This window comes from Homo sapiens, chromosome 2 (genome assembly GCF_000001405.40).
Source record: "Homo sapiens chromosome 2, GRCh38.p14 Primary Assembly".
NCBI lineage: Eukaryota > Metazoa > Chordata > Mammalia > Primates > Hominidae > Homo > Homo sapiens.
In genome coordinates this window covers 7,902,803-7,915,779 of record NC_000002.12, presented here as the reverse complement: position 1 = coordinate 7,915,779, position 12,977 = coordinate 7,902,803, and positions in this window count along the sequence as shown.

Here is a 12,977-nt window from a genome sequence, read left to right as displayed (position 1 = left end):
ACAGGGTAATCTCAGAAACTGCCATGGTACGCACTCCCTGGACCTTCCAGGACACTTTCTATAGGCAGGAATCCCAGCTGCGTTTCATATGCATATAAGATGTGGTCCCTGCTCTTAGGCAGCTTACGATCTTGCTGAGGAAATGAGCAAATGCAACCAAGTTAAATCCAACAAGAACTTGATTGTCTACATTGTGTGAAAGTAAAACTGGTCAATTTCATCTTCACACGCATGTGTGGGGTATTGAGCACTACATGGCGGACCTACGCAAGGCGTTGCAGGGAACTAGAGAGGGGACGCAGCCGATGCATGCTGGAACACAGCTGCAAAGGAGTTCTCAGTAAAGCGGAGGTGGGGAGTGGAGGAAGGAGGATGGGCTTTATCTGGAAAATTAGAGAAAGATTTGCACCAGGCTCAACAGTTGCCTAAAGAGTAATCACAAATGAGCAGGATTTGAGAAAATGATCAGCCAGTGAGCTAACAAGCCGATTTTCTAATTTGCCAAATTTTGCCTCAAACTTTTTTCCCATTAGAATAAGACACTTATGTATTTTTTTTGGCCAGGCGCCGTGGCTCACGCCTGTAATCCCAACACTTTGGGAGGCCAAGGCAGGTGGATCACCTGAGGTCAGGTGTTCGAGACCAGCCTGGCCAATGTGGTGAAACCCTGTTTCTACCAAAAATACGAAAATCAGCCAGGCATGGTGGCACACGCCTATAATCCCAGCTACTCGGGAGGCTGAGGCAAGCGAATCGCTTGAACCTGGGAAATGGATGTTGTGGTGAACTGAGATCACACCACTGTACCCCAGTCTGGGTAACAGACTGAGACCCTGTTTCAAAAAAAAAAAAAAAAAAAAAAAAAGAATGTGACATTTATACATTTTTTATTGCAGGAAAAATAGTAACTGTCTCTGTTCGTTTGATAGAAGGGTAATATATCACTTCTCAAATATATCTCTTTAAAATTTCATGTTTATTTATAAAATAGAAAACTGCTATTCTTATGTCCTCAATAGTTTTATATGAGGCATTTCTGTTTTGACATCCTTAAATTATAATATTTGTGTGCATATATCTGCTAACTATAATAATAGCATAATGAAATATCTCCTACTTGTTTACTATAAATAATAATTTCCTTGAAGTTAAGGACCATATTTTATACGTTATCATTTTTAATGGTGCCCTGGTATTAAATAAATGTATATCAAATTGAAATGACAATGGAAATAATAAGAATAATGACGATGAAAATAGCAGCTGGTAAATATTAGCCTGAAACAGCTGGATGAGATTATTTCCACTAAAAACTTGAGTAGATATTAACCTCCCTAAAAGTTTGATAGCCTCTAGGGTGACATGTGGAAGTCCAGGAGCAAGTTCCTAGAAGTATTGTTCTTGATAACATTATAAGTTTTTTGCACGGATGTGAGAATCCACCAAGGGAAGCAGAGTGGGGAACCTGGTGGGGAAGGAAAAGGGTCCAAGGCGTGAGATATGGGAAGCAGGCAGTGGTTCTTTCGGATTCTCTAAGGAGCACTGCGCTAACAAGACTAGACAAGATTAACGATCCCTAAGCAGAGGTTAAGTGTGCCGCTGACAGGCTCTGTCAGAAAAGCTGAGGGTAGGCTGGAGCGGGGATGTTGGAATGCATGTTCCATGCACTCTGATGACACTAAAGGAATTATGGTCGAACATGCAACATTGCTGAGGCCTGTTGACTAGGACCCGGATTATGACCCAGATGATTAGCGTTCAGTAGCTGGGCAAAGGAAGGGAGAACACCAGAAAAGACTCAGAGGAGATAGACTTCAAAATTAGCAAAGTGCATTCTTTCTTTGAAATAGTTTTAACAAGAACTACATCAATAATGCTATGAATGAAGGGAAGGCATACCATGGTTTTAGTTGTCACTAATGTTATAGCTTATCCCCTTTTCTTTACTGACCGGTTTGCATGGCTCAACAGTCTGTTTTTCTTTTCTGAGTTGAATGAATGGCTGACTGTCTGAACAAACCGACAAGAGAGTTAGTGTAATTTTTTCCATTGTCTTTACTGAGCACCAGACCATGCCAGTCTGCAGTGCTAGGTTTGGCAAAAAGTAGATTCACAATAAACACAGTTATATCACTATTCATATTTATCACTATTAGTTTTTTAGTACATGAGTTTGTAACTTATACTACTACTAGTATGTTTACTGTAAAGCATTTTGAAAATAAATAAAAGTAAAACATAAATAAAAGCAGAAAGGAAAAGAAATACAAATTCCCTATAATCCATCAGCCCAGAGATATCACTGCTCCTACTTGGAGGATCTTTTTGGAGGCATGTGTGTGTCTTTTTTCTTTCTTTAATAAAAAACACATAAAACAAATTTTTATTTTATTTATTTATTTATTTATTTATTTATTCATTCATTTATTTATTTATTTAGAGATGTAGTCTTGCTCTGTCGCCCAGGCTGGAATGCAGTGGCATGATCTCGGCTCACTGCAAGCTCCGCCTCCCGGGTTCTCGCCATTCTCCTGCCTCAGCCTCCCGAGTAGCTCATTCTACAGGCACCCGCCACCACGCCCAGCTAATTTTTTGTATTTTTAGTAGAGACGGGGTTTCACCGTGTTAGTCAGGATGGTCTCTATCTCCCGACCTTGTGATCCGCCCGCCTCAGCCTCCCAAAGTGCTGGGATTACAGGCGTGAGCCACCGTGCCCGGCCTAGGTTATATTATTTACTTAGATGGCTTCAAAGTCTGCTCTTATAGTCTTACGTTATAACTTCTAAGTTTTAGAATCTTGTCAGGTTCAGCAGAGCAACTGCCAAACCAAGAAAAATAGAGAATTGACCTCTCAGGGACTCAAGACAAATGTTTTGAGAAGCAAAGTCCTAGAGTCCCAGGGAGGCGGGAAGAGCCAAGTAAAATACTAGATTTAGGGAAAGAAAGAGTTTTCTTGTTAAATGAAAAGTGTTTTCTTTGCTAAGAATGGTGCTACTTCCTTACCTTTTTGGGTTTTCCCATTTCCTCTGGGCTTAGCTTAAATTCTATCATCTCAGAGAAAACTTAGCAGACAAGTCATTTCTGAATTGAGTTCTCGCCTTTAAACTCATAGCACCATGCCCAGGCCCAGCAGGCAGCTCAGCAGATCTCATCCATGTTTACTGGTGAAGAAGAAGGAAGGCACTGAAATTGACGTCTGCTGTGGTCGGAGGCTGCACTGCCTATTTTACATACGCTTGCTGTGGCCTGAATCTTTTTGTTCCCCGGAAATTTACACGTTGAAACCTAATTCCCAATGTGATGGTTTTCAGAGGTTGGGTTTCCTGAGGGAAGTGATCAGGCCATAATCGGGGAGCCCTCAGGAATGGGATAAGTGCTCTTATCAAACAGGCTCAAGGAAGCTCCTCTGTCCTTCGGCCATGTGAGGCTACAGTGAGAAGGTGCAGTCTATGGTGCAGCCAATGGACCCTTGCCAGACACTGAAACTGCTGGAGCCTCGACCTTAGACTTCTCAGCCTGCAGAACTGTAAAAAATACATTTCTGTTGTCCACCCAGTTTATGGTATTTTGTTCCAGCAAACTGAGCAGACTAAGACAACCCTAATGATATATCTGTGGAAAATATTTCATAAATAGGAAAATGAAAATTTAGCAATTATATCAGGAAGTAGCTACATTTTTGTGCCTTCTCTTAGCTGGACAAATAAATTCACTTATTCAAATAAACTATTTCATTGTTATCTCTTGTATTATTGTTTTTCAGTGGAATCCTTATGCCAGTTCTTAACTTCTCCTGTTAAGAGAAGTTAAGATGGGTCCACATCTGATTCCCATCTGCATTGCCCCTAATGGATTGAAAAGAAATGATAGGTATGACCATAGGGCTGCAGTTCAGGTGTTCCAATTATCCTTTAATGTTGTATAACAATTTGGCCTTTGAGTTTCTGCCTAGCTGTCGGAAAACATAACTTCATCATCCTAGGAGTCCCTTTCTTTCTTGATAGTCCCACCTCTTGGGTATAGGTCAAAATTTTAGGATCTTAAGAGGTGATAAATATCAGCTGCTCCTCTGGTCTTTCTCCCTATGGCAGAAGTCGCCATTGTCCTTATCTGCATGGTGCCTATGGTGCCCTTAGATTTGGTGGCCAGGGCTGGATACGAAACTTGCAGAGCCCTATGCAAAATAAAAATGTGGGCCCCTTGTTCAAAAAGCAGAAGACATGGGGCCACTAAGGGTCCTAAAACATAAAGCTTCTTTCTTCTGGTGTCTCCCTTTCATCTTTTTGTGGTGTTTTTTATTTGCCATTCAATATCTTTCTAAGTAAAGAAAAATAAAAAATCTAAACAAATAGTGTGAATTCTACCACTCATCTTTATATTGCGTAATACCAGTTTTAAATACAAACATAATAGCATTTAATTTGTATGTAGGATCACCAAAATTATACAATATGTATTTTGTAGTTTGTAGGTGCATATATATTTTGTTCTTACCAAAACAGTGAAAGCTCCACACAAAAGTCACTCAAGTGTTTTTATATCACTCGTGATGCATCCACCTCTACCAATATCCTCTCCCTTTGGCTTACTGATGAGGAAGAAGGAAAGGAAGTGTGGGTTGCCTTATTTTTCCCTTTCCTTGTATGTCATCGTTTTCTGTAAAAGTGGATGTAAGGGAAGTAATCTGAGTAAGAAAGGAAATAATTGGGTTCTTTAATTGTTTGTGTTTCTTAGTACACTATTGCCTCTTTTTTTGTTTTTAAAACAAGCTCTGGTTCAGTCAGAAAGTATGATATCTCTGGGCCACAGGCCTCTTGCTGACTCAGCAGTGGACCTAACAGGCTTACCTGGTGTCACCGTGAGTCTCCCTGACCTCCCAGGCATTGTGGAGCCCCCAACATTCTGTCTTTACGGGGCATTATGGGCTCTGTATGTAAATGGGTCCCAGGAAGCACCTTGTGGATAGACACATTGTGAGTATCATTGTGGGACAGGCACATCTCCACTGTCCCATCAGATTTTACTTACAAAGCACAAATTCAAAGATAGAAACATTAAGAATTCCAAGATGGCGCCACCAGAGCATCAGCCAAGCGTGGCCCCTTCCAAGTGCAGAGCTTGTGTGGCTGCACAGACCACACACCCTCTGAGCTGGCCCTGCCAGCAGCTTTCTGCCACGCTAGGGTGCAGAAATTTTTGTGAAACTTCCCTTGATCCTGTCTTGCCTTGGGTAAGCTGTGCTGGCAGAAACAGCATCAGAATGCCCCTGCTCTGGGATCCACGGATGTCTCTTTTTTTCTGCCTATGGTGGCCATGAGAAAGACCTCTCAGATCTCCAGCTGCAGACAGCATGATTGACCGGGGGCCTTGCTGCTGCTATAGTTGGAGGTCCTGCAGCCCTGCCTCCCATGGGCAGCTCCCGGGCAACGAAGCAGCAGGAATACTGCAGGAGATCTGCTCCTGGGGACTTGGGATTCACTGACACTGTCACCAGGCACTGTGGCCTCCTTGTGCCAAGAAGAGTCACCAGATGGCAGGGAGAGTTGACCTGGACCAGCAGGACAGGGTAGGATTGTTTTTATACATTGTGAGCAGGGAGTAAACTTAGACCCATGTAACTGTGAGCAGACATGCACAGCAACTCTAAATGAAAATGGGTGGGATGGCTAAGGGCTCAATGTTTTGGGTGGCACTGCCAGGTAGGTAAGCCACTGAGACCTTGTGAGGTGAGAGCTGAGTGGGAGAGGAATTTCGAAAGAATAGAGAAGGGTGAGGAGGAGTCCCAGTGTGGAGTTGAAACCACCTGCAGTGACAGAGGCTGGAGTTTGTCCCACTCACCTCCCTCTTCCTAGTTTGCCCTCAGAGGCCTTGCTCTTGTGAGTCCCCATTTGATCCTCCTTTTCTTATCTCTGGATAAGGGTCATGGCCAAGATGCCTGTGGCAAGTCCCGTGATATGGTTTGGCTGTGTCCCCACCCAAATCTCATGTCAAATTGTAATTCCCAGTGTTGGAGGAGGGACCTGGTAGGAGGTGATTGGACCATGGGGGTGGATTTCCCTCTTGCTGTTCTCATGCTAGTGAGTGAGTTCTCATGAGATCAGGTTGTTTAAAAAATGTGTAGCAACTCCCCCTTCTCTCTCTCTCTCTCCTGTCACCATGTGAAGAAGGCACTTGCTTCCCCTTTGCCTTCCACCATGACTGTAAGTTTCCTGAGGCCTCCCCAGCCATGTCCTCTGTATAGCCTGCAGAACCGTGAGTCGATTAAACCTCTTTTCTTTATAAACTACCCAGTCTCGGGTAGATCTTTATAGCAATGTGAGAATGGATTACATTTATTTACATTCCGGGCTTGAAATTCTCTGGCTGCAGTTGTGTTATGGAAAGAGTTTTTGCTGTACCTCACTCAGTCACATCCTCCTTCCTCACTGGAGTTCTGTTGTTTTTGGATTTCACTTGTTGGAATGACATAGCCTCTTTTTCGGAAGATTAAAACTGCAGATAAGTAAATGAGGTGTATTTGCCTATCTACCTTTTCCTTCCTTTCTACCTTCTCCTGTCTCCATCTAAGCTACAGTCTTCATTGCCCACACCCTCAGAGTTGTCTGATGACACCTTCCATTCCTGTAATTTCAAGTACTCTCTCTATGTCTCATGCTCAGCAGCGTCTAAATATGGGCAATATGTCCTGCATCTTATAAAACCCTTGCTCGGCCTCACCCTATTCCAGCTACTACCCTTGTGCTTACCTTCCCTTCATGCTCAAACCTCTAAAAGCATTGTCCATACTCCCTTCTCTCTCTCACTCTACACACACATGCAGGCACGTAGACACACACACACACACACACACACACACACAAATAAATAAACCACATGTATGTAACACAAAAGGTTCGAATGGTGCACAGGAATTCAGTGAAAAGTGAGTGCTTCCCCCAGTATAGGCCACTAGACTCTCAGCTGCCTTCCTAAGTGAAACCACCGATATGAATTTTTTTTGTATATTTCCCAATATATACAAGTATATATATAGTGTGTGTGTGTATATGTATATATAATATATATATACATATATATAGTTTCTTTCTATATATATTATATATTGTTTTCATTTTGGGATATGTTTAAGAGAAACTGTTTCATTTCTGTGTGAATAGAACTTCTCCATTCTTTTTCATGACTGCATATTATTCCATCATAGAAATGAGCTACAATATACTTCACAAGTTAAGTATTGAGAGGCATTTCATTTATCTCTAGTCTTGTTTTATTATGATAATACTGCAATTTATCTCCGTGTGTGTGCATTTGTGTGTGTATGTGTGTGCAATTATATATCAAGGATAAATTACGAAGAATAAAGTTGCTGGATCAAAGAATACATGCATATAGAGTTGACGCATATTATGAAGTTACCAGTTTCTTCTGTTTCTTTGTTACTGCAATAGAGAAAGTGATTATTTTCCCTGTACCATTACTAGTAAAAATTCACCTTTTTCAACTTTTGCTACTCTGACAAGCAAAAAATTGTATCATATTTTGTTGTTAATTTGTCTGTCTCTTATTATAAATAACACTGAATATCTTTTAAAATGTTTAAGAGCCATTTGTGCTTGTGCGAGTGTGTGTGTGCAAGTCTGTGTGTGCACCTGCCTATCTTGTTCTTTGCCTATTTTTTTTATTGAGTTGTTTGACTTTTTTGACTACTTTAAAGTGTCTTTATAGTTTAAGAAAATCAGTACTTTTTAATTTTCCAAGCGTGTATTTTATCTTTTGATTTTGTTTAGTGTGATCTTGTCCGCAGAAATATTTTTATATGACCTACTTTATCAAACTTTTCTTTATGGTTTCTGTTTCTGTTCCTGTTCTGAACTTTGAGATGTCCTTCTCATTATTTTAATGGATATTTGATATAATCAGATTTTCATCTTGAAAAGATTATTCTAGTTACAGTTTAAAAATTAGATGAGGTGATAACAATTAGAAGGCAATTGTAGAAGTTCATGTGAGTGAAATTAACAGCCAAGCTTATGATGATGGCAGTGAAAGTGGAAAAACAGGGATGAATTCAAGATCCATTTAGGAGGCAAAATAGACAGGCAGTAGATTGGATATGGGAGAAGGTTTTTTTGTTGTTGTTTGAGCAAGTATTTAGAGGATATCATTTACTGAGCTAATATTACTTTTTGTGTGGGGGATCATGAGTGTGGTGTAATACACATTTTCTTTAGGTGGATTTGAGATTTCCTAAGGAAGCCATTGAGTACAACATCTCAGACTGTGTACCGGGGGATGCATGCATGAGGAGTGGCGAAATAGTCATGGGCATTTGATGGCATGGGCCCAGATGAGATTTCTTATGAAGACAACATGAAGAGAGCTGGGAGCCAGGAAGGCCTTTGAAGAGGTCCAGCCTTTCCTTGATGAGTATAAGAAGGTGATGCCGCTGAAGGCAGGGCTCATGAGCAAGCCCTGGATGCTGCCTGGCTTCCGGATGTATGATGGGACGGACCTCGAGCAGAGTGGGGCTGCGGGGTCACCCGGCCGGCTGGGCACAGGCGAGTATCTGCGAAGGTCGCTGCGGAGAATTCACTGGGCTGGGCTGCTTTGTCTCCCAGGGAACTCTGGGACCCCCATATTTTGCTTTGTATGGTTTTCTTTCTGCCTTTGTTACCATTTCCACATTATGAGAGGAGATTCAAGAAACAGATTTCTCTAACTATGCCCCAACATTGACACCAAGTGTTTTCTCTCCACGTTGACTCGTTAGTGATGCAAAAAGATTTCTTCAAGAGAAATATGCTACATTCTTTCCAGGCAAGATGGCAGAATATATTAAAGAAACCACATTTGTACCTCAAAATCAGGAGATGAAAAACATGGGAAAAGGGTTTTTCAGCAGTTCTACCTAAATGCCTGTTACCATCTGCCTTGTTATTAGTGTGGTGTCATAGAAACAGCTTGGATTTTAAAAGTATATGGACCTTGGTTCAAATCCCAGCACTGTCTCCTGCTGCAGCTGTGGCTCTGAACGAATGGCTTAACCTTTTTAAACTTCAGTTTTCTCATCTACGAGGTGAGGATAATTGTGTTATTTCCCAAAATTGAATCAAATGAGATGGCACGGATGAGGGCCAGGCAGAGACTCTGTCACACAGCAGGTGCTTAATGATCTCTGGTGAGTCCCTTTCTTCTCCATCCACAGCCCGGATCTTTAGCAAGCTCGTTCAGTTCTGTGCAAGTATAGTGCGTTTTTCCTCCTGTCAAAAAAAAAAAAAAAAAAAAAAAAAAAAAAAACAGCAAAATCCTCTGAATTTCATTCTAAGCAACAAAGGAGTTTTCAGGTAAAAAGGTCCATTTGTATTCTAACTAACATTGCCACTGGTTTCTGGGTAACTGTAGTTGGTGAACAAAATAGTTACAGAGAAGGTAGAGGACAGGATCCATGGTCTTGCAAATTCATCTGTTCAGAGCAAGAAGACAGCCAGTGAGAAGTGTGGTGGCAAAGGGATATGATGATTAGAGAAAAGTGTAGCCTAATTTGAAGCCTAGAGGCTGGAACTAGGGCTTCTTATGGCATTACAGTCACAATCTATTCATCTTTTGAGAGGCTTAAAAAAATCCCTTGTTGACATCACCTAAGCCGCCCCATACAGGAAAGATTGTGACATTTCTGAACCAAAGACTAATTTATGTACATCTCATTTTAAAGCACCTGGGCACGATATTCCACCTGACGCAAACATTCAAAGCTTACCATGTTTTGAGAGAGAAGAGCACACCTGTGTCGACAGGTGGAACTGTCCTGGCACCGGGCCAGTGTGCTCGCACCGTGTTCAAATCTCTGGCACTTGTTTGCTGGTGCATCGGGCCGTACAAGGTATTTGCCTTCTCTCGCCCTCAGAATCCTCACCTTTAAAACGACAATATAATGTGCCCTTTGACCTCTATGATCCTTTGCAGTCTGGCAAACTATGACACAAAAGGCCTGGAGATCTTTGTAACTTCACCGGGGCTGATATTGGTATTACAATCCCAGGAAGGACTCCATCTCTCATATGAGCAAATTTTACACTTTTATTATCTGCATCTCATTGTGCAGCAAAGCATGTATCATTGGTTAATTAATGCTGCCAGCATGGCACTCTGCTAAACGATTGTTTAGCCTAGAGTGGAATAAAATGCTACAGTGACCAGTACTGTAGCATTATGTAACACAAAATTAAAAATCTGATAATTTGATTGGAAGTCTCAGGTGAGTTTTTTGTATAAAAATGTTAACCTCAAGTAGCTATAAGCAGGTAAATGTTTTATTCATCCCACTGATATGAAATAAATGCTTATGATATAAATTATGTATAATTAATGCTCCTGGGATAAAAAAATGTATGCTAATAGGTTGTCAGTTAATTAAGAAAGGAATATGAGGTAAACAAAGGTGATTATAATTTATCTTGGGACCATAAACAGAAATCGTGCCTTAAATAATCTCTTTGAAAAAATACATTATACAGCAAATCCTTCATTTTCCTCCAGAGCGGCCGCCTAATGGTATAGAGCAAGTGTTCAGTGGCGATGTTAAACGAGGAAACAGCTAAGGAGAGCAGAGCAGGCTGCGGGCTTACTAACAACAGCTCAGCTGAGGTGGTCTCGTATGAGCAGTCCTGGTCTCCTTAGGAACATTTTCCGAAATACAGTTTTTTGGAAGCTAGAAGCTACATTACAAGAGAGGGGAAAATGCATTAACTGATGAAAACTTGAAAAAGTGTGCCTATACTAAAGGCAGTCTTCGGCATTCTGGCTAATTTCATCTGCTTTGAAACTGCCCATCAGATGAACTACACTTCCCTGTATGTGGCTGGGGAAAGTCACAGTGATGGCAGACAGGGACCAGGAAAAGGTATCCTCTGAGTATTTCCGAGCTCACTTGGCTATACATGTATTCATTCACTCATTCATTCATTCAACAAACATTTCTTAACTACATAGCGTGCTCAGCATGGAGGATAGAAACGTGCTGTGGGTATTGCCATCTCGTCTCTTTTCTCCTCTCGCATGGTCGTCTTCATTGATCTATGGGATCTGGGTATTCAGGCGAAAATATCCAGCTAAGAGATGGATATAGAAGCTTAAAGGTCTGGGGGGAAAATAAAGGCTTAGGTTATTTGAGCTGTGTGAGCAGGGGACAGAGGGGAGTGGCCAGGGATGATGAGCATTCAGGGGCAGGAAGTGGCGAAGTCCAGCAGGGAAAGGCACTCCACTCCAATCATCTGGTCAGAAGGGCACTTAGAGGAGCCTCTGGAAAGGCAGAGTCACCCACTGTGTCACTGCAGCAGAGAGGGTGAGCCAGGAAAAAAAAATAACAAGTTTCAGGTAGATTTTGAAATTACGCAAGTTTGGTGGAAGCAGATACAGCAAAGTGGAGGGTGCAGGCTCCACCACACCCACTCAAAAGGGTGTCCAGAAGCAGGCAGAAGATCACGGTGGCCTCGCCAGAGACTAGTTTAGATGAGAAGTTAGTAGGGGAGAGGTTTTGGATGGTAAGCCAACATAGCAGGAGTCAGTTTGGAGGGTAATTCAGGCTCAAGACCGAGACATGAAAAAGTGGCTCAGTTTGGGGGATTGAAGAGATGCACTTTTTTGTAAACTGCTTGAAAGAGTCCTTAAAGGAAGATGGGAGGATTGAGGGCATGGAGAATGGTTCTGTATGAAGAACCCAAGGCCATCCTCTGCCCCTGAGGCAGGAGAAAAGGGATGAGGATGGTGAGGCATATGGGCAGAAGGGCTGGGATGGCCTATTGGCTTCAGCTTCTTCTAAAGTAGAAGTTCAAGATCGAATGCTGGAACAGATGAAGGAGGTCCAGTGAGGAACTACAATCTTGGTGAATATTGAGAATTGTCATCAAGAGAAACAAGAGAGTAAATTCACCAGGGACGAGAAAAAGCCAAATTGCCTCCTTCAAAGTGCCGTTTCCTTCCATCTGCAGTTCATTCTTTCTGTTATGCAGAGGAGATGGGGGACTGCCAGGAGATGGAGGACTCTGTGAGATGGGGGACTCTGTGAGGAGATGGGGGACTCTGTGAGATGGGAGACTTTGTGAGGAGATGGGGGACTCTGTGAGGAGATGGGGGACTCTGTGAGGAGATGGAGGACTCCGTGAGATGGGGGACTCTGTGAGGAGATGGAGGACTGTGTGAGGAGATGGAGGACCCTGTGAGGAGATGGAGGACTTTGTGAGATGGGGGACTCTGTGAGGAGATGGAGGACTCTGTGAGGAGATGGAAGACTCTGTGAGATGGGGGACTCTGTGAGGAGATGGAGGACTCTGTGAGGAGATGGAGGACCCTGTGAGGAGATGGAGGACTCTGTGAGATGGGAGACTCTGTGAGGAGATGGAGGACTGTGTGAGGAGATGGAGGACTCTGTGAGATGGGGGACTCTGTGGGATGGAGGACTCTGTGAAATGGGGGACTCTGTGGGATGGAGGACTCTGTGAGATGGAGGACTCTGTGAGATGGGGGACCCTGTGAGTAGATGGAGGACTGTGAGATGGAAGACTCTGTGGGATGGGGAACTCTGTGAGATGGGGGACTCTGTGAGGAGATGGAGGACTCTGTGAGATGGAGGACTCCTCTTCCTGCGAGGAGGACTTTCCATCTTCCTTTCTTTTATGCAGAGGAGATGGAGGCCCCTGAAGGGAAATTCTCTTCTTTGGTATTCCACATACTCCTTGAGGTGGGGGTTTAAAATGCTCATTTTACCAAACCCTCTCCTACAGCTTTATGAGACATTAAATGTTCTCCATTTTTACCAAATGAGAAAATAACATTTTATCTGATTCTAGAGATTCGCAATCTCCAATTTAACAGGATGAAAAGAAGAGAAGACATTTCTGTAGATGAGACCCTGACAGGCAACTGCCAGCCCCACAGGCTGTTCTCATCCCTGCCCAGTACCAGGGATGTGAGAAAGTTCT